Source organism: Homo sapiens, chromosome 4, assembly GCF_000001405.40.
Source record: "Homo sapiens chromosome 4, GRCh38.p14 Primary Assembly".
In the NCBI taxonomy this organism is placed as follows: Eukaryota; Metazoa; Chordata; class Mammalia; order Primates; family Hominidae; genus Homo; species Homo sapiens.
The window spans coordinates 3,623,645-3,645,090 of record NC_000004.12 but is presented as its reverse complement, the minus strand read 5'-3'; the positions used below and the strand labels follow the sequence as shown (position 1 = coordinate 3,645,090).

General features: G+C 57.2%; 1 long non-coding RNA gene across 1 annotated transcript, besides 3 other annotated features; it reads left to right on the top strand.

The window, feature by feature from the left end:
* Window positions 1,510-2,041: an enhancer, noted in NCBI's record as "H3K4me1 hESC enhancer chr4:3644777-3645308 (GRCh37/hg19 assembly coordinates)". NCBI's record gives its function as "activates a minimal SCP1, AML or CMV promoter by ChIP-STARR-seq in primed H9 embryonic stem cells {active_cell/tissue: H9 hESC(primed)}" and the evidence as "EXISTENCE:reporter gene assay evidence [ECO:0000049][PMID:30033119]".
* Window positions 4,098-4,281: a silencer, noted in NCBI's record as "fragment chr4:3642537-3642720 (GRCh37/hg19 assembly coordinates)". NCBI's record gives its function as "represses an EF-1alpha promoter that drives an FKBP-Casp9 reporter gene in an ReSE screen in phorbol 12-myristate 13-acetate-treated (for megakaryocytic differentiation) K562 erythroleukemia cells {active_cell/tissue: K562(+PMA)}" and the evidence as "EXISTENCE:reporter gene assay evidence [ECO:0000049][PMID:32094911]".
* On the top strand, window positions 9,733-12,055 carry LOC112268461 (uncharacterized). Its single transcript, XR_002959775.2, has 4 exons — window positions 9,733-10,300; window positions 10,424-10,646; window positions 11,458-11,663; window positions 11,861-12,055. It is a non-coding gene; the product is annotated as an uncharacterized LOC112268461 (long non-coding RNA).
* Window positions 12,920-13,919: an enhancer, noted in NCBI's record as "H3K4me1 hESC enhancer chr4:3632899-3633898 (GRCh37/hg19 assembly coordinates)". NCBI's record gives its function as "activates a minimal SCP1, AML or CMV promoter by ChIP-STARR-seq in primed H9 embryonic stem cells {active_cell/tissue: H9 hESC(primed)}" and the evidence as "EXISTENCE:reporter gene assay evidence [ECO:0000049][PMID:30033119]".

The window sequence follows — 21,446 nt, the reverse complement described above, 5'->3', positions numbered from 1 at the left end:
CCTGCCACACATTCATTCGTTCATTCCCACCAGCGCCCACCATTCATTCACTCCCACCCGCGCCCACCACACATTCATTCACTCCCACCCATGCCCATCACATATTCATTCATTCATTCCCACCAGCGCCCATCACACATTCATTCCTTCCCGCTGGCGCCTGCCACACATTCATTCCTTCCCGCTGGCGCCTGCCACACATTCATTCATCCCACCGCACCCGCCACACATTCATTCATTCATTCCCACTGGCGCCCACCATTCACACCCAGCTGCACCCGCCACACATTCATTCATCCTACCCACCCCCGCCACTGCCACAGACCCCAGGACTCCCAGGGAAGGACACACCCTTGGAGAATGCGGGCATGGAGTTCCCAGGAGCCCCTCACTCTCTGTGGAGAGGAAAGCTCTGGCTCACAGTCCAAAGGGCCTGATCCATCTCCTGCTCAGTGGAGGCACCTCAGAAACTTCTGGAAGTTTCCTGCCCTAGAAAGCTCACCTTTTTTGCCTGAGGCTTCAGGAAATGCTGCTGCCCCAACCCTTCAAGACCTTACTCTGAACCAAGGAAGGGTTCTGACGTGGGGAGCCTGCACCGTCCTTCCCACTCCATCCCAGCACCCCCCAGGCCCAGCACAAGCGTGGCAGCAACAGAGGCAGCTTCAGCGAGGACCCTCTAGAGGGTGGGAGAGAGTATCTGGGAAATCAACCCCAGAGGAGCATCCAGAATATCACAGAGAGGCACCTGGTCGGACTCCACAGGGCACAGGATGCCCACCAGCTTGGCCTGGCCCATCCTGGGGCATCCCACCCAGCCTGGGCTGACCCTCGATCCCAGTCCCGGAGCTGCCTTAACGAAGACCCACAAACTGGGAACTCAAACAACAGGAATGTTTTCTCTCCCTGTTCTGGAGGCCGAAGTCCCAGATCAAGGTGTCGGCCTGACGGTGCTGCCCCTGGGGGCTCCGCGGGAGGCTCCTTCCTCTTCCTGCCTCTTCCAGCTTCTGTCGCTGTCTCCACATGGCCTCCGTCCCTGTGTGCGTCTCCCCTCGTTTCTGATAAGGAACATGTCCCTGGATTTCGGGCCCATCCACGATGGCCTTACCTCAAGATCCTTCACTTTATAGCAGCTGCAGAGATGGCTTTTCCAAATAAAGTCGCATCCGCAGGATCTGGGGCTGGGGATGTGCTCATATCATTGAGGGCCATCATTCAACCCCTCCAAGCCCCTAGGTCTCCTCGGGCGGCCGAGCTTCCCCAGCACCCGCCACCTGGAGTGTCCTCCCAGAAATGTCAGAGTCTCTCCCCTGAGGGGCTCCCCCATCCCACCTGCACAAGGTCCACCCAATCCCACTTAGGGCCAGGGGTTGAACTTCGTCCAGGAGTGGCCTCCCACTCTGGTGGGGCAGGATGTGTTCCCGCCCCAGCCCAAGGTGTGCCAAGGCCTCACCTCCCCATGACAAACGCCCAGCAAAGAGGCAGTGAGTGTGGCATGGGGGTAGGCCACTCAGCTCTGCTCCTGCCCAACTGTGCAACCTTAAGCAAGTGCCTGCACCTCTCTGAGCCTCGGTCTGTCCCTCTGTGGAATGGTATGACCAGAGCAGTTCACCCACCTCCAAGGTGTCAGCCTGTCTGTGAGTCAAACAAGGCCAGAGTGCCTGGCAGCCGGGCACCTCACTCAGTCCACAGCTGTTGTGATTAACCTGTACTGCATCCAGGGGACAGGCCTCCCAGGGCAGTGGGGAAACCCACACCCCATACACAAATCAGCCCCATGCCCCAGCAACAGAGCAGGTCACAGGGAGGGGCAGGGGCTGGGCAGGCCGCCCCAGGACCCCCACATCCTTGCTGAGCCTAGAGGAGGAGGAAGAGGGCATTTCCTGTGACAGCGTGGGGGTGGGGGAGGTGGGGAGAAGCCTCCAGGCAGAGAAAGGTCACCTGGCATCGCATCCAGAGACCATGTGCCCTGGGCCTCCTCCGGCTTGTGGGGAATTTCAGCCCTCACCCTCAGGGCAGTGGAGAGCCAGGACAGCCGATGGGCTTCCAGCTGCTGGAGGGGTGCAGAGGAACCGCCCTGCACATGTCCCAGCAGGAGACCACCCGGCCTGAAGGACGGGCTGCCAGGCCTGGCTGTGTCATCTGGAGAAACCAGGCCTGGAATGCTCCAGCCTCGTCCGGCAGGCAGGGGTGACTAAAGACTGTACCTGTCCCGCCTGCCTGCACAGGGTGGTTTTTATCTGGAGAAAGCACTTGGCCCCATGCAGACACACTCAGTACCCCCCGTCCCCACACTGATGTCCTTCCCTTAACACGGGCCTGGAACCCGCAGAGGGTCCAGCCAGCTCCGGAACTAAACTAATATGGAGAAACCCCCCAACCCGAAGGACAGAGACCAAATAAACCTTCGGAGGAGGATAGAAGAAGGTGGCAATGGCGCTTCTGTGGGGCAGCCTGGAAAGTAATCCTCTCTCCCAGGCACACGGCATCCTGACGGTGGGACAAGAAGAAGATGCCTGGAGAAGAGCACAGAGCACGTGAGAGCCCCGGAAACCCGCGCAGAGCACGCGAGAGTCCTGGAAACCAACCCACACAGAGCACGCGAGAGCCCCGCACACCCGCGCAGAGCACGCGAGAGTCCTGGAAACCGACTCACAGAGCACGTGAGAGCCCCGGAAACCCGCGCAGAGCACGCGAGAGTCCCGGAAACCAACCCACACAGAGCATGCGAGAGCCCCGCACACCCGCGCAGAGCACGCGAGAGTCCTGGAAACCGACCCACGCAGAGCAAGCGAGAGCCCCGGAAACGGACCAACGCGGAGCAAGTGAGAGCCCCGGAAATCGACCAACGCAGAGCACGCGGGAGTCCCAGGAAACCGACCTGCGCAGAGCACGCCAGAGTCCCCGAAACCCGCGCAGAGCACGCGGTAGTCCTGGAAACCGACCCGCGCAGAGCACGCGAGAGCCCCGGAAACCGACCAACGCGGAGCACGCGAGAGCCCCGGAAACCGACCCGCACGAAGCACGCGGGAGCCACCGCTTCATTCCACGCACCACCCACTTGCTGGGCGTCTTCAGAGTTCTAAAAACCCAAGAAAGAAAAAGATTGGAAGAGGAGGTGAAGATGTCCCAGAAAGTGGAATAAAAATGTACCGAGATAAAGCGCAGAGACAAAGGCAAGACCCGAGCACTACAGTGAGGCCCAGCTGCCGGGGAGAAGATTTGTAGAAAGTTCCAGAGTGGGAAAAAATGGAAGGGAAAATGGAAGGTGCCCAAGCACCATTTAGGAGAACACTTCCCAAAGCTCAGGCCAAGCAAGTCCATCTGGATGCCTTGGAGTCCCTCGCCCTGGGCAGGGGGCCCACGTTTAGCCTTCTCCTGGTACTGTTTTCATAAACGAGGCTCGGCCACTTCCCGTCCGGCAAAGCAAAGCCCGCGCACCACAAAGGACGGGAGCACAAAGGCATAGATTTTCTCTTCCTTATGACTTTCTTTTCTCTCTCTCGCTCTTTTTTTTTTTTTTTTTTTTTGTGTGTGTGTGTGTGACGAGGTATCACTCTGTCACCCAGGCTGGAGTGTGGTGGTGCAATCTTGGTTCACTGCAGCCTCCGCCTCCCAGGCTCAAACGATCCTCCCACCTCAGCCTCCTCAGTAGCCAGGACTGCAGGCACATGCCACCACAACCAGCCAATTTTTGTATTTTTAGTAGAGATGGCGTTTCACCATGTTGCCCAGAGTGGTCTCAAACTCCTGAGCTCAAGCCATCCACCTGCCTCGGCCTCCCAAAGTGCTGGGATTACAGGTGTGAGCCACTGTGCCTGGCCTTTTTGATTTTCTTAACATTTTCTCTTCTCCAGCTTACTTTATTGTAAGAACACAGAATATAATACATGTAACAGACAAAATATGTGTTCATCAACTGTGCATGTTAACGGTGAGGCTTCCGGTCTGCTGGTGGCTATTAGTGGTTATGTCTGAAGGGAGTCCAGAGTTACATGCAGACTTCTTACTGCTTAGAAGGTGGGTCCCCCTAACACATACACACATGGACACACACACACCTGGTTTTGTTTCACTGGAGAACCTGACATACATAGAAAATAAGCAAATGAGAGATGGGCAATTCGCTCCAGGAAAACAAGATCAGGAAAGAAAGGGACGGAGCATCGCACAGTAGAACAGCTGAGTCTTCTCTGAGCCAGGCAGGTCTAAGCAGCCCATGCTCCTTGGGGAGCCCTTGGCCAGCCTCCTCGTCCCCACGGACGGCTTTGTCCCTGGGGGAGCCACGTGTGGGTGACTCAGGAACAGCAGCTGAGTCACCGTCACGGTCCCAGACCGCCCCCTCTCTGCCCCTCTCTGCTGTTTCCAGGGCCTCTTCCCTCCCATTCCTCCACATGACGTTCTCAGCGTTGGCCGCCCTAGCGTCTGCCCCAGGCTAACTGATTTGACCCCATGGCTTTGAGACTCCCGGCTCGTCCCTGGTCCACCCTCTTTCCATCTTGTCTCTCTCCTGTGCCTTCTTCCCGTCCACCCTCCTTCCAGAGCTGAATCTCCCGGGGGTCCTCCACCTGGAGCCCCGTGCCCACAAACCTCAGCTTTCCTGATCCCGCCTGAGCCCCTCTTCCCTCCCAGGCCCTTTTGCTCCTCCACAGCCTGCTCTCCTGGGGCCTGGCCTCCTCCTTCTCCCTCCCACTCAACTTCTTAGCCACATCTTGCCAGCCCCTCCCTCCTCCCACCCCATGCCATCAGTCGCAAGCCCCCAGGTGCCCCCTAAGCCACTCCTCACCCGCTGTCTTCCAGCCTCTTCCCTGAGCACTGGCACCCTTCGGAAGGAGCTGAGCTCTTGCTTCCGGCCCCTCCTGTACTCCTCATCCCCCACAGTCCTAGGCTTTGAGTCTAACCACATCAGCATCTGCTCTAGAACCTTACTGAGCTCCCCGTGACCCGCCAACCACCACCCAGAGGCCTGCATTCCAGGCCTCCCACGATAAACTCCGTTTGCTACCAAAGCCTATACCCGACTCTGCACTTAGCAAAGCTGCATCACCTATGGAAAACGTTCTGAAAATACCCCAGATGTTCTTACCTCTGACTCGGTCACTCACCTTCCCTGGCTCACCTGTGCCATCCATCCTAGACCAAGGCGAGGCTTCCCATGGGCTTCCCGAGGAGCCCTAGATCCTCGTGGACTAACTGCACAGCCAGCAGTAGCCGGAGCGGTGCTGCTGGTCAGACAGACCTGGCTGGAATCCTGGCTCCACTGCTTTCTGGCTGCATGTCAAGGTGCAAGTCACTGTGCCTCTCTCTGGACCTGTTTCTTCATCTTTAAAGTCAGGGAAAAATTTCACAGCACCTCGAGGTGGTTGTGAAAATTCAATAAAATAAATAATATATGCCCCCCACCTATTGCAGAGGCCGGGATGGGGCCAGTGTTTATATCCCAACCTCACAATTTGGCACTGAACATGGACATCCCAGGCAGCTGGGCCCCGTGTGAGCATCCTGACTCCCCAGGCAGGCTGCAGACTCAGAGCAAACACTGTGCCTTCCTTTGATCTGTTCACCCCTTGGGCCTTCATACAGCCCGACGCCCGGCAGAACCACCAGAGACTGAGTAAGGGAACAGTTGGGAAGTGTTTGTTCCTCTTTAATTTTCTGGAAGAGTATCTCTGGAATTGGCATTCTTTCTTCCTTCGATGTTTGCTATGATGCACTATTGCAGCCCTCTGGACCCAGAAGTTGCCTTATGGAAAAGTGTTTAACTAAGAATGCAATGTCTCTAATACCAGCATGGCTATTCAGGGTCTCTGTTTCTTCCAACGTGAGCTTTGGTAGTCTGTGTCTTTCAGCGTATTTGTCCATTTCATCTAAGCTGTCAAATGTACTGGCCTAAGGTTATTGACAGTATTCCCTTGTTATCACGGAAGCACCTGTGGAGTCTGTGGTGGTATCATGTCTCTTGTTCCTGATAGTGAAGCTTTACATCTTCTTTCTTTTTTTCCTGACCACTACAGCTAGAGGTTTATGAATTTTATTGATATTCCAAAGAACCATCTTTGGGTTTCATTCATTTTCTCTGTTGTTTTTGTTTTCCATTTCACTGATTTCCACTCTTATCTTTATTATTCCGTTTCTTCTAGTTATATTGGGTTCAATTTGCCCTTCTTTCTTCCGGTTTTGTGATGTGGGAGTTGAGTTCATTGATGTGAGACCTGCCTTCTTTCCTAATACAAGCATTTGAATGCTATACAACTCCCACCAAATACTGCTTCAGCTGCATCCCATAAATGTTGATATATTGTTCAGTTAGAAACACATTCTAATTTTCCCTTTGATTTCGTCTTTGACTCAAGAGTTCTGTGGAAATGTGTTAGCTGTTTTCCAAATATCTGGGGATTTTCCAGATGTCTTTCTGCTGCTGCTATTGATTTGTAAGTTAGTTCCACTGTGGTCAGAGAAGATATTTCAAATGATTCAAGTCCTTTTAAATTATTAAGTCTTGTTTTATGACTCAAAATATGACCTGTCATGGCAAATGTTCTGTGTGTGCTTGAAACGAAGTGTTCTGCTGATGTCAGGGTAGGGTTTCCATAAACGTCACTTAGGTCAAGATGGTGGATGGAGTTCAAGTCTTCTATATCCTTGCCAGTTTTATGTCTACTTGAGTCAACTTTTGAAAGATGAGTGTTGAAATCTCCAATTATAATTGTAAACTTCCATCTTGCTTTGTAGTTGTTTCGACTTGGAAGGTCTGCTAGAAGGTGCATAAACTTTGAGGATGTTATGTCCCTCAATGAACTGACCTCCATGGCGTCATGAAGTGACCCCTTCATCCCTGCGGCCATTCTTACTCTGAAGTCTACTTAGGGAGTAACATCTCCACTCCAGCTTTCTTTTGATGAGTGATTGCATGTATGTCTTTTTCCATTCTTTCAGGTTTATCCTATTTTGCCTGCATATTTAAAGTTTTTTATGCCTATCATATTTTGGTTCTTTCTTTTTCTTTATCTGGCAAACTCTGCCTTTAAATTGAAGTGTTTAGAACATTTATATTTAATTATTAATGATCACTTTTAAAACTGTCGTCTTGCTGTTTTTTCCCCCTTTTTTGGGTTCCTGTTTCCTCTTTTTCCACCTTCTTCTGAATTCATTGGGAATGTATTACGGGTCTATTTCATGTCCTTTGCTGGCCTGGCCACGGCATCCCGCATTGAAGCCTGGACATTCTCTGCAGGCAGTGAGCTGGGGAGGCGCTGGCTCGCAGAACGGGTTTCCTGTCTCTTAGCAATTGCGCTCCTTGGCTGAACTGCAGCCAATGTCATGAACGCCATGTTTCATTTGTTCTCTCTGGAGCTTTGGCTGTTTTTTATTGCTCCCTGTTATACCATTTTGGCTGGAATTGGAAATCTCTGAAAATCTCTTTAAAATTGAGTCCATTGGAGCCAGCGTCTCTTTGCTTGCAACCAAAGACTTGGAACTGAGCCTCCCCCTGCTGTCCGAATCCTGTCCACCCCGCCGCGGCCTGGCATCTCCGCCTCTCCTTCAGGTCTCCCTTCAGACACCAGCTCCTCCAGAGCCTCCTGGCCCCAACGCCTGCCTTAGATGCCTCACCCATCCCGGCCCCTCCCCACCGTGCCTCCGTTGTCTGCCTCCTGTTGACCTCCCCCACCAGACTTGGGATTCCTTGAGCATGGGGACTGCCCCATTGCCTCACACTGTGCCTGGCACATAGTGAGTGCCCAGCTGGCTTGTGTTCACCAAATAATCAGTGATTTTCACTTCTCCTACCCATGAGATCCCAAGCCTTTCCTGTCTGGAAAGAACAAGGCACACTGGGGAGAGCTTACCTGCTGAACCCTGGCCCCCACCTCACCAGCTTCAGAGGCAGGAGTGCAGAGTGGGTAAGACCGAAGACCAGGGTCAGCGCCTGGGTTTGAAGCCTGTCCTGAACAGGTCTCAGCCTTGTGGCCTGGGGCGAGGTCCTCGCCTCTCTCATCTGATGTTCCTCCGTGACTGGTAACAGTGGTCATCGCCTTAGTCCTCTGGAAGACCAACCAGTGCCTGCCCAGGGTTGGCAAGTGCTGGACGGATACATGCTGTCACTGCTGTCCTTCCATCACCACCCCATGATGCAGGGTACTGTGCTGGGCACACCAGGGAAGAACACAGACAAAAGTCTCTGCCCCACGGAGACAGCCCACACACAGGAAACCAGGCAAGTGAGTCACACAGCACATCAGGAGGTGGTCATGCTATGGGGGGAGATATCAACATGGAGCAGGGGGCAGGAGCAAGAGGAAGAGGTGCAGCAGGGGCAACATTGAGCCCGGTGGGTGGCGTGGGCCTCCTTTGAGATGGGACTTGGAGCACGAACTCCAAGGAGGTGGCCATTATCAGACTTGCATTTCAGAGCAATTGCCCAGCTGCTCGTGGAGAAGGTGTTGAGATGGATGGGGTTGGGGGACTGTCCCCAGTGAGATGCAGATCAAGGGGTGGTACTGACCACATTGTCAGGACAGAGGCAGCCATCGGGAGGACTGTGAGACTGTGTAGTATATATGTGGCCCTGTCCCTGTTTCCCAGCATACAACTCCTAAAGCCCTTGACTCTCTGGAGTGGTGAGAGTGTCTTCTGTGTGCTCATGAGCTGGCTGGGGGCTGGGGTCTCCTAGACAGCTTCAGGATGGAGCTGGTCACCCAGAAAGACCAGGCATGATTAGAGGATTAGGACTTCCAGCCCCACCCCTTGACCTCTAGGAAGGGGAGATGGGAGGGGCTGAAGGTTGAGTTGATTGCCAATGGCCAATGATGCAATCAATCAGGCTAGGAAGGGGAGATAGGAGGGGCTGAAGGTTGAGTTGATTGCCAACGGCCAATGATGCAATCAATCAGGCTAGGAAGGGGAGATGGGAGGGGCTGAAGGTTGAGTTGATTGCCAACGGCCAATAATGCAATCAATCAGGCTAGGAAGGGGAGATGGGAGGGGCTGAAGGTTGAGTTGATTGCCAATGGCCAATGATGCAATCAATCAGGCTGAGTAATGGAGCCTCCATAAAACCCAAAGGACTGGCTCAGGGAGCTCCTGGAAAGCTGAACACACAGAAGTGCCTGGAGGGAGTGCCCAGGACGGCATGGAAGCTCCATGCCCCTCCCCAACACTTCACCCTACGCATCTCTTCATCTCTATCCTTCACAGTGTTCTTTAGAATAAACCAGTAAACATGCATAAAGTGTTTCCCTGAGTTCTGTGAGCTGTTCTAGCAAATTAAACCCAAGGCGGGGGTCGTGGGAACCCTGACTTAGAACCAGCTGGTCAGAAGCACAGGCTATGCCGGGACTTGCCATCAGCCTCTAACGTGGGGGCCATCTTGCAGGACTCAGCCCTCATTGTGGGCTCTCACGTCACTCCAGGTGGGACCAGCATCTGAAGGGCGGGGCCATCTTGCGGGACTGAGTCCTCACTGTGGGTTCTCACGTCACTCCAGGTGGGACCAGCATCTGAAGGGGGCGGGGGCTGTCTTGCGGGATTGAGCCCTCACTGTGGGCTCTGAGGCTCACCCTGGGTGGACGGCATCAGGTTGGAGTTGAATAGAGGACCCCCGGCTGCTGTCCACTGCAGGACCACTTGCTGGTGGGGAGAAACGCACATGTTTTGGTGATCAGTCAGCTGTGTTGACTGAGGATGGGAGGAACCGTTTGGTTTGTCCCTGTGTTTTACAAAGGCTGATGTCACTGCACCGACGGACGGGCCTAGAGTGGTGAGGGGAGAGGCCTGGTGGTTTCCCGCTGCTCCCGCCCTTCGCCCTGCCTCCCTCGCTCCCTGCTTCTCAGCACTCCCCACCTCCATGATGGTTTTGAGGCCCTGGGCCTCAAGTTTGTTTTGCTTCAGCCCAAGGTAAACATGCCTGTTTAATTTATGGAGAAACATCTGCAGAGTCCAGTTTTATGGCTTGTTCTTTGAAACGATCACTTCGGATACATAAAAAATGAGGTCAGTAACATTGAGTCCCAAAGCAAAGAGCCGGCCTTTCCGGGCTCACCACGTAGCTTCCTCCCCGGCCCTGCTCATGGCCCTGCCTGGCTGTCTCCTCTGCCTGGAGGCCTCTCACTCACCTTTAGGGTGGGCTCCTGGCAGGGCAGGGTGGCCTGAGGGGCCTTAGGGAGGATTTAGGGGTGAACACCCAAGATCCCGGGTCCATGAGATTCCTGGAGCCAGGAGAAGGTGGCTTCACCACTCAATTCAGTCATAGGGACCAGCCAGGCCCAGTCCCACAGATGAGGAGTCCTGGAGGGTCCTAGGCCTGGTAAGGGTGGTCCTGGTTCTACAGGGGGTCCCCTGGAGAGTCCCGTGAGTACTTGGGGGAGATCCCCTGGTGGGCAAAGCAGCCCACGAGGGAAGCACCTCAGCCACACCCCTCCCTGGTCAGCTCAGGTCCTCAGGAAGCAGATGCTGAGCGGACCTGGGGCATGCGACAGGTGACAGTAATGCCCAGAAGAGATGGGGCGTCAGGAGTCACCCGACTGGCCTGAAAATCTGATGGCACCTCCAGCGCCACGGCGAGCTCTGGGGCCAGGGCCACCTGCTGCAGGGACCACGGGTTGAGTGGCAACATCCAGGCCCCAGCCACTTGCATCTCAGCCACTGGAAAGGTAGGGGCCTCTGGGGGGCTACCCTGTTCACAGATCTTTCTAGGGGAGACCCCAGAGACGGCCTCCCTGGAGCCACATTGCGAGTGGCCAGAGCCGCATCCCGCATCACGCCCTCTGAGGGGCCAGCAGACAGCTCCAGGCGGAGCTCAAAGTGTCCTCGGACTCCAGCAGGAAGTGCTGGACTGGATGTCGGTGGGGGCCTTTGAGATCCCGATTCTGCAACCTCAGCTCCCGGGGCTCTCCAGGCCCACAGTCCTGCTGACTGAAATGTTGGCAATGGTGGCCACTGCGCCTCCGCTCAAGAGTTTGCAGGAAGTTCCATGCGGGAGATCAAGTGAGAGTGGCCAGGGGCCTCTAGCAGTGACCAGCAGACAAAGCCTGGTCTCCAGGCATCACCAGGCCACTGGGCCAGGAGCCTGAGCTGTGGGCTCTGTGGTGGGTGGATGCTGGTTTTCTTCACTGGTACGGGAGAAAATGGGGATCCTGAGAGATCCCATGGAGAAGCTTCCAGCAAGCTGGGCCTGGATCCCAGCCCGCCTCTGCTCAGGTGTTCATAGTTGTGGACGCTGAGTATCTGCCGGTCCTAGTCCCTCGGAGGGACCCATGCACTCCAGGACGCAGCCTCAGACCCAGGGAGGTGGTATCATGCACTGACGATGGCAAGGCCTCCTGGAAGCCCCTGGGGCAAAACCTCTTGGCAGTGCTCAAGGCCCCACACTGGAAAGTGGACACAGCACAGTGATTTGCCATGCCCAGGCCGGTGCAGAGCAGCAGGCAGCCCACGTCACTCTCCTGGGCCATCTCTCTGCAGGGGACAGCCACCATCCGAGCCCCCCATCCAGGGGTTCCCATGTGGGGACACCTTCTGGCAGCCCAGCTGAGCTCCCACCCCTAGCAAACACTGCCGGCCTCTCACCCCAGAGCGCTTTCAATGGCAGCAGCCTCCAAGGGCACCCACTGAGAGACCCCAACTGAGAGCCCCCAACCACGCCCTCCGAACTCCTGGCCAGTGGGACGGTGAGTGAGGAGGCCCGAGATCTGCCTCACAACTCGGTAACAGAGCAGAGCATGCCTGCTCCAAGCCGGGGTTCTCTCCAGACATGGAAGGAGGGAGGGAGAGAAGGAGGGAGGGAGGGAAGGAGGGAGGGAGGGGAAGGGGGAGGGGAGGGGAGGGACCAGGGAGGATAATGAAAAGGACCTGGCACTATTTGTAGAGACACACTTCTGCCCACTGAGAAGGTCCTCGGCCTTGATGTCCAGCTCTGCGGTGACGGAACCTGGACAGAGAGAGCAGGACCCCAGCATGAGAGTAGCAATGGACGTCACAGCAAAACATCCACGTTTCACAGTCACGACTTCCAGGAGCAAACCGAGCCTCTCCAGCAGCAGGGTGAGAGGTGACAGGGCACAGTTGAGGAGTCCCAGGGCTGCCGCGATAGGGGTGCCCACACAGGGCTTCAACAACGGGCGTCCACTCCCTCGCAGTCTGGAGTCCCACGTCCCAGATGGAGGTGCGGGCAGGGCCGTGCTGCCTCTGAAGGTTCTGCAGGAGCACCCTTCCTGCGTCTTCCACTCCTGGTGGCTCCAGGCGTCCTTGGCTTGTGGCCGCATCACCCCACTGTCTACTCTGTCGTCTCAGCCTCCTTCTCCTCCTCTCTGTGTCTGAGTCTGGATTTCCCTCTTCCTGTGAGGACACCCATCACCAGGTTCAGGGCCCACCCTACCCCCATATCTCATCTGAACTAATTCCACCGGCAAAGAGCCTATTTCCAAATAAGGTCACATTCTGAGGTTCTGGATGAACATGACTTTACGGGGGACACCGTCTAACCCTGAACATATGGTGTCGGGAGCAGGCACTGCAGGAACTGAGGTGAATCTGTTTCCATCTCTGTGACTCCTGGACACCCCAGACAGCCTTAGAGCCATGGGGAGGCCGCAGTGCCACCAGTCAGGCTGGAGACCCCTAAGTGGGTGCCCAGACAGGGCCCATGGCAGGAGGGCAGTGGGCACAGAGGAGGAAGGCCGGGCTGCTCCCTGCTTCTCCTCTCCCTCCTCCTTCTCCACTGGAAAGTTCCACAGAAGAGTCATCTGGAGGTGAGCAAGGACTCAGTAGGGCTATTGCCCTGGAGAGGAGGCGGCCGAGGAAGGAGAGCCCAGCACGGCTCTCGGAGGCTTCGCAGGGAGTAGGAGTCAAATACCTGGGAGGAACGAGGGCCCTCTCCAGGAAGAAAATGTCTCCAAACCCTCAGAACCCTCCGCAGACCTCATTGCCAAACAAAGAAACATGTTTTCTCAAGTTCCATCCTCAGCTTCAAGATGACCCTGCGTGGGCGAGCTGTGTTTGTTTGACCCCAGCTGGAGAGGAGGGGCCTGTGGTCACAGCCCAGTCACCAGCCCAGTCTCGGGTTCTTGGCCCCATACAGGCGCTGAAGAAAGGCAAGGGGGCTGGGGTCGCTGTGGGTGGTGCCACGTGGGAGGACGCGTGTTAGAGGCACACAGCCGGTGTAGGTCCCTCCCTTTGTCACTGGCCAGCAGTGTTCTGCCCCCGGTCAGCTATTTCCCTTCCACAGGCCTCAGTTCCCCTCTGAAAACACCAGCATCACCGGCCAGTGGTAAAAATTAAACACGCTCTTAATCTTCCAGGCTCTGTCCTGGACACACGGTGACCATCACCAGCATGAGTCAAAGGCCACAAACCAGGCATGTGTGGCTTCAGGACGAATGGACTGCACCCACACCCCATTCAGTGGGGTGACCCCTTCCTGCTTCATCCTGCTCCCCAGCAGCCACCTCCTCCCTCGGGGTGCTGGCTCTCCCCAGACGCACAGCAGCCCGCACAGACCCGTGGCCTGTGTCCTGTCTCCCCATCCCCCCAGGACAGCCAGGCTGTGTAGACAGGGCAGGGGACCAGCATCTTCTGAGGCCCCAGACACGGCTCCTCACACACCTCCACCCCGCAAGGGGGATCCTCACGGGGCAGCAGTGATGCCCCACGGAGTGTCCTGGAGGGTGGGGCAGGGTGAGCGCCCATGCAGGCAGGGCAAGGCCATGCAAGGCAGGCTCCCCATCTCCGGCTCATCAAACATCTGCTGCCGCGGGCCCGCCCAGAGAAAAGTGGGATCAAGGCCTACAGGGGCTCCTGCCTCGCGCTCTGCTGGGGTCCCCAGGGAGGTGAAGCCTTTGCTGGTCCACTGCGGCCCTAAAGGCTGCAGTTGAGACACCCGGGCTGCCAGCTCCAGACTTACAGGGGCATCTCCACCCTTTACATGCCTAAACCACCCCCCGACCCCTCCTTCTCCCACACTGGGACCCTCCCAGGGCACTAGACCCCACCCGGCCCCAAGGTCCCCAGGGGCCATAAGACCCCCCTCCCACCCCACCCCAGGAGGAACACTGCCCGTAGCTCACTGAGGCAACGTCCAGCCTCTAAGCCCAGAAGCTGCCTGTGCTGGAAAATCACCTCCCATTTCCGGGTGAGGCCTGGGCCGGGAGAGTGCTCTCTCCCCACCCTCTGCACCCCGCCCCAGCTTCTTCCCCTGCCTGCCATGTGCCTCGGCCCCCAGGAGCCCCAGTCCCCGCCCACAGCCTGCAGCAAAGCCCCATTCACACCTCCTATGACATGGTCCTGCTGCCCTCCAGAACCCTATCGCCTAGTGCAGGACGGGTGACCAGCAGGCAGGGCACAGCAGCTAGGAGCAGCTCCTAGGAGCCCCCGAGCCCCGCCCTGGCTGATGCCTCCTGGGCCATGTCTGACACATGCTCAGAAGCCCATTTCTCAGATGCGGTATCCTCAGCCTTTGGGAGGGATTTGCGACACTTGAGCAGGGCCCTGAAGCATGTGTAGGAGTTCTCCTATCCCGACTTTCAGGCCACCTGTGGTCAGGGGGCTCCCTGTGCTGCCCGAGGTCCCACCGTGCCTGCTGCACTAGCTGGGGTGCCCTCCCTTTCAGCGGTCCTCAAAGGAGTCTCACCACGCTAGGAAATTGTAAACCCCAGCCTCAGCCTGCACGGTCCCCTCCCCCTGAGGCGCCCCTCATTGTCTTGTCCCCTCTTCTGTGGGTGCTCCCTGACCCTCCTTTTCCCCCTCCAGGCTGGCCCCAGGCGCTCCCTCTCCTCCTACAGCCCTGAGAGGTCATAGCTTTGACCTCCCCACATTGCCAGCACTCACGTCTGGGTCTCTGTCTCTCCCACCAGAATAGGGGCTCCTTTACGGATGGGGGTCCTGTCCAGCTCCTCCCTGAACCCCGGAAGGCACAGGGAAGGAGCCACTCTGTGACTCCAATTCCAAGACTGCCTCTGAGCTTCATAACTGCCTCCCTCTCTGCCATTGAGGGCTCATGCATTTTAAAACTTTCTCCGGAGGAATAATTCACTCTTTGCCATGACCCAGTTATCTTTCCAGTTTCTGGGCAGAGGTGCTGAGCGATGTTCTGAGGGTGGCTTGGTGAGCAGGCTGGCAGCGGGAGAAGGGTCTCACCTGCAGGCTGCCCAGGGGCTCTTCCTCCCACCCTCCCGGGCCCGAGGCCCCTTCCCACACCCCTAGCTCCACAGCAGCAAAGCGGGGCTGTGGGGTGGGCCAATGCCTCGAGGCGTCACCACAGCCAGGCTCTGGAGCAGAGGGCCCTGCGTCTGTGTGCGCTGCCTTTGCAGCCTCAGTTCAGGCTCAGGCGCAGCTCTAAGCCTCAGTTTCCCCAGCAGTAAATGGGCTGGTTCGGGGATTCCATGAGTTGACACCTGTTGTCAGCACCGCACTGGGCACCAAGGGAAGAGCCCAGAAAGGGACTCTGGACTCAGAGGGAGCCAGGGCCCAAGCCTGCTTCTCCTGCTGCCTGCTGGTCTGTCTTGGGGTCTGCCTTCTGCTCTGTCATGTCCCCCGCTGAGCCTCAGTTTCCCCAAATATAAATGTAATTGAGGTTTTTAGTACCTTCCTTACTGGTAGCTGGGAGGACCAAGTGAGAAAACGCCTCTGAAATAACCTAATCAAGTAGACAGTGCTCGCCAGATGAGCTCAGAGGCTGCAGTGGAGACCACGTTCCTGCACCCGACAGACACTCCAGGCCCGCCCCAAGGAGCCCGTCCGATGGAGGAGGCACGCACATGTGTTACAGGACCAGCAGATGTGTATGCCCACAGCGCTGTAACACACCCCTGACGTGGAGACAGCAGGGTTTGCAGCAGAGAAAGGGCTTATTGATCACAGGGCAGTGAGTGAGGGGGTGGGAGGGAGCCGCAAATCCCTGTCCCTGAAGAGTTCCGGGCTGGGGTTTTTAAGGGGATCATGGAAGGTGAGAGGCTGGAGAACTGGGTTGGCTGATTGGCCAGGGTAAGGGACTGAAATCATCAAGGTGTGGGGACTTGATGATTCTTCGGTAGCTCAGGTCCTCCAGGGTCCTACGGGCCAGCTGGCGTCAGGAGCTTCCTCGGTACGCAGGGCCTGAAGGGGCATCTCAGAGGGAAACACACGTTCCCAGCGCTCATCCGCAGAGCAGTCGAGGAGGCAGTGGACTTGTGGCCGGGCCTGTGTGACTCTGGGGCCACAGGCAGCAGACAGGCTTGAGGCAGCCCGTCAGAGCATGACCACCCAGGGACGAGTGTGAGGGCGCCGGGCTGGGTTAATTTTCGTTTCTCCCCCTCCCTTCTTCTCTGGTTAATTTTATGAAGTTTATGGGGACGATTTCACACACACACCTGCGCGCACACTCCTGCCCACTCCATACAGCTCCCAGGCAGTCACAAGGTGAAGGCTGCCCTTCTGACAAGGGGCTGGTGCTCTGCCAACTGGAAGGGGCACAGGGAAGGGACCCCCCGCCAAGCCCGTTGGCCTCCAACATCCTCCCAGGAGGCAGGTGTTCAGCCCCAGACACCCCCACCCCAGCCAGCCGACGCAGCTCAGGAGGGGGTGGGAGTGGAGCTGCTCCCACCACAGCGCACCCACATTGCCACCCCAGGTGAGGCGGGGACAGCACCGTGGGAGGGAGGGAGGGGCACAGTGACAGCTGCACGTGGAGACGCAGCGAGACGAGTCTCAGAACCTTCCAGACAGAGCTGGTCAGAATCTCATCAGTTAAGGTTAACGTTAGCTTTGGGAGGCAACTTCCAGCCCCGCTTAGAGTGGTGCAACCACATCACTCCAGTTTTTGCTGTTGGATTCTCCAGGCAGCACTGGTTTCCGGATCCCTGACTTTTAAACAGGAACTAGCGTCCTTTTTCTGCCCGGCCAGCATCTCCTGCAGGCGGGCCTGGCTGCAGCTCAGATGCCGGGAGAGTAGGTTCACATCAGGACATGCCGAATCAATCCCTCACTCTCATCAGGACCCCCACGGGGGGAGCACCAGCTCCAGGGTTTCCCATCAGCCTCTGGTCTGAGTGGCTGCTCCTAGCCCCCCTCCCATGAAACTCCCCAGCAGGAGCTCTGGCCTCTCACAGGCGGGGTTCAGCTCCAGAAAACTCCCGCTGAGGATCTGTGCTGACCTGGGGCTTCCTGAGAAGAACGAGGGTCCCGAAGAGTCCTACAGACCCTCAACCACAAGTGTCCTTGGAGGACAGGAAAGGAGCTGGGAGGCAGGACACTTCGGCTTTGGCAGGGCCTGATCCTGTGAGCCCCCAGGTGCAGGGCGGGTTACAAGATGGACTGTAGGATGGGGTCACCCACTGCTCAGTCCAGCCAGCCAGCCACATGACCATTCATCCAGCTGCCAGCGCATCCCCCTCATTATCCATCTACACACGGCCATTCATCCTCCATGAGTCTATCCCCACACCAACACCTGCCAGTGCAGCCGCCTCACCATCCATCTACACACACACCGGCCAACGCCCAGCTCCTCCAGTGCCACCCACCATCTCCCACAAGCCCAACCTAACAGTCCTCCTACCCACTAGCCATTCATTGCCATCAAACCATCCAGCTACCTGCGTACCCATTCTCCATGCACATCCAGCCAGCCACTCACCCTGACCCACCTGTCAACCTACCACCCACGTGCCCTTCATTTACCCAACACACACTTAGCAACTAGTTATCCACTTGCTTGCCACATCAATCCAATAGCAACCAGTACCTCCATCCAATCAGCAAAAGATTCATTGATCAGCCCCTTTATTCAACCAGGAATCCATTCACCCATCCACCCCAACCCAAACCACCTCTTCAGTAATACAACCACACACCAACTAATCCACCAGCCGTCTGTCAGTCTGGCTGATCCTCCTATTCACACATCACCCATGCATTTAACCAGCCACCTACCCATCTGTCCATCAGTCTATCAGCTATCCACGTGCCAAACCATTCCTCCACCCACCCCATCATCCACCCATCCATCCAACACCCCAGGCAAGCATCCATAGTGACTGCCCCCCATCCATCTACCCATCTCTTCACCTGTCATCCGTCCACCCCTTCCAACTATCCAGGCCACCTCCTGAACCCTCCTTCCATCTCTTCCCCACATATCCAGCCACCCACGAATTCATTCAACAAATATGCATTCACTAACAAACACTTAGCAAGCACTCACCAACACCAGGTGTTGACTGAGGTGCTGGGTACACCTCAGGAACAAATCAGACAGAGGAGCACGCATTCTAGCTGGGTGAGACGAACAGGAAGCATCAACAAAGAGCTGTTGCACGTCAGGGGATAAGTGCTACACGTAAGGCAGAACTGGGTCCTGGAGGGAGAAACGGGCTTCTCTTCTGGGTGAGGCGGTGGGGAGGGCCTCTCCGAAAAAGGCGGCAACCGAGGAGAGGAGGGAGACATGAAGCACGAAGGGCATTCCAGGTAGAGGGCACAGGAAGCACGTGGCTCTGAGGCCTGAGCATGCTCTGGAGGTTGGAGGGGACTGAGTGGCTGTCAGCCATCCAGAACTGAGGCCGTGAGAAGCAGCAGATGCCAGCCCCTCTGTGGGTGAATAGGAGGCAGGGCTGGCCTGGACAGGTACGATCAGCCTCACATCCCAAGCCCGGGCCACCTGCCGTAGCCCCAAGCCTCTGGAAACAGGCTCATCCTCCACCTGAGTGACGTTCAGACTTGGGGAAGGGTGGGAGCGGCTGGAACATAGGCTGGGAGGTCAGCAGGGCCCGCCCACTGGCAGTGGGCACAGAGGTGGCCAAGGCACTGACTCTGGGCGGGAGCTTTGCCCTGACTCCTGCAGCCCCCAGCTGCCTGCCTTTCCCTCAGAGGCTCCACGCTTGGCTGTTCCTCAGTCCCACGGTTTCTCGGGACCAGCATCAGGGCCGCATTGAGCCTCCACCTTTGAGGCCACACCAGGCCCCGGCTGGGTGGAACCCTGAGGATCCAGACTCACAGAGGCCAGGCACACACGCCACCTTGACATGTGTTGCTTTCCACCATGAGGATCGTGTCTGCCGCCAGCTCCCCTCAGGCTGCTCAGGGCCGTGCCCTCCACAGACCACTCACCCTCAGCAACCAAGCAGGGGTCCTGAGACGAGGCTGGAAGGGTCCGGGTTTCCTGCCCAGCCCCCGTTCCTGTTCGGGTGGCCTTGGATGAGTCGCTTTCTCTCTCTGCTCCTAAGCTGCACTGTTCCTAGAATGGGATCTCGAACGTGGACCCTGAAGAGCTGTGGTGACAATTATATGTGACAGCCGATGTGAAAACAAGTTCTAAATGTTTTCTGAGCCCTTCCTTATTTCACATGTGCTCACGTCGGCCCTGGGGGACAAGTCATTGCCAGTCACACTAGAGTATACACAAGGTGTCCCCCTGTGCCTGGCCCTGGGGAGGAGGAGGTTGGTCCTACCTGGGGCAGGAGGATGGAGAGAAAGGAGACCAGACCCAGCTGTGAGGCTGCGACGGTTCTGGCCAGGCAAGCAGGGGCAAGCAGCATCTGCAAAGAGGCTGGGGTGTAATTCTAGCAACAGCTTGATGGGGATCTAAGTCGGGGGAGGCTGGAGAGGTGGCTGTGAGTAACCAATGAACTCTACTAAATAGGAATTCAATCCAGGGCCTGGCACTGTAACCCAAATATCTCCAGGGGTCCAGATGGCCCAGTCCATGCACAGACTTCCCTTCAAAGGAAGCCAAATCAGAGCTGAGGGACTTGAGGAATTGTAGTTCTTCACTGTCAATTTCCTCATTAAACCTCCCTGCGGTTTACAGGGAACACCATGAAGAAATCCAACCCAGACATCTTTCCTTCACAGACTCCACACTCAGCTTCTCCCCCTCCCACGCTGCTCCTCCCTGTCCTTCCCAGACCCCACACTCAGCCTCTCCCTCACACTGATCCTCCCTAGTCCATCCCAGACCTCATCCTCAGTTTCTCCCCATCCCACACTGCTTCTCCTTGTCCTTCCCAGACCCTATGCTCAGCTTCTCCCCATCTCACCCTGCTCCTTCCTAGTCTTTCCCAGATCCCACACTCAGCTTCTCCCTCCCAGCTGCTCTTCCCCAGTCCTTCCTAAACCCCACACTCAGCCTCTCCCTCCCAGCTGCTCCTCCCCAGTCCTTCCCATACCCCACACTCAGCTTCTCCCTCTCACACTGCTCCCCGCTAGTCCTTCCCATACCCCAGGCTCAGCTTCTTCCTCTCATGCTGATCCTCCCTCATCCCTCCCAGACCCCACATTCAGCTTCTCCCTCCCACCTGCTCCGCCCTTGTCCTTCCCAGAACCCACGCTCAGCTTCTCCCCATCCCAGGCTGCTCCCCCCATCCCTCCCAGACCCCATGTTCAGCCTCCCCCATCCCAGGCTGCTCCTCCCCTGTCTTTCCCAGACCCCACACTCAGCCTCCCCCTCCCAGGCTGCTCCTCCCTGTCCTACCCAGACCCCACATTCAGCTTCTCCCTCCCACACTGCTCCTCCCCTGCCCTTCCCAGACCCCACGCTCAGCCTCTCCCTCCCACGCTGCTCCCCCCTGTCCTTCCCAGACCCCATGCTCAGCTTCTCCCTCCCACGCTGCTCCCCCCTGTCCTTCCCAGAACCCACACTCAGCTTCTCCCCCTCCCAGGCTGCCCCTCCCCATCCCTCCCAGAACCCACACTCAGCTTCTCCCCCTCCCAGGCTGCCCCTCCCCATCCCTCCCAGAACCCACGCTCAGCTTCTCCCACTCCCATGCTGCTCCCCCCGTCTTGCTGCTCCCTGCTCCTTTCTCCTTCCTCCTGGGCCTCCACCCACCCATCCTGCCTGCTGGTCACAGTCACTGTGCTAACGCCCTCCCCCACACAGCCCACAGGGCCCACCCCCCAGGCTCGCTGTAACTGCTTTCTCTGAGAGGGCTGTGCGTGGGCAGCTCTGGTGACACACACTGGCATGTCACCCTGGGCGTGTCGTGGAGAGCCACTGGAGAAACCCTACACTAGAGCAAGGAATCAGCAAGAAGAAGGGCAGCCTGAGCCAGAGCTGGGAGGGGAGTGGGAAGGCTGCGGGGTATAGGGAGGCGGCAGGGTGGGAGTGGCGAAGCCCTGCGGCAGAGGGGGAAGCTGCTCCCGCCCACATCTGCTCCCACAGGAAGATGCCAGAAGACCCTTCCCCCAACTTTGCCTTTAGTTTCTGGTTTCCAAGGAAATCTGAGAGCCTGGACACGCTTTAATGAGCCCTGGAGGTGACACCTCCTGGTGGGTCCCACTTGAAAGGCTGTCAACTCTGCTCTAGGCCCTCCCTTTGAGCCATCCTGGGGCACCTGCCTGGGACATACATCCCCAAGGAGACACCATCCCATGAGGCACAACGCCTGCACTAAGCGTGCTGCAGTCACCTGCTCTGTCATTCTGGAAGGGGGCTCAGCCCACCCTCACTGGGGCAGAAGGCAGAATCAGACCACCTGTGTACGAGG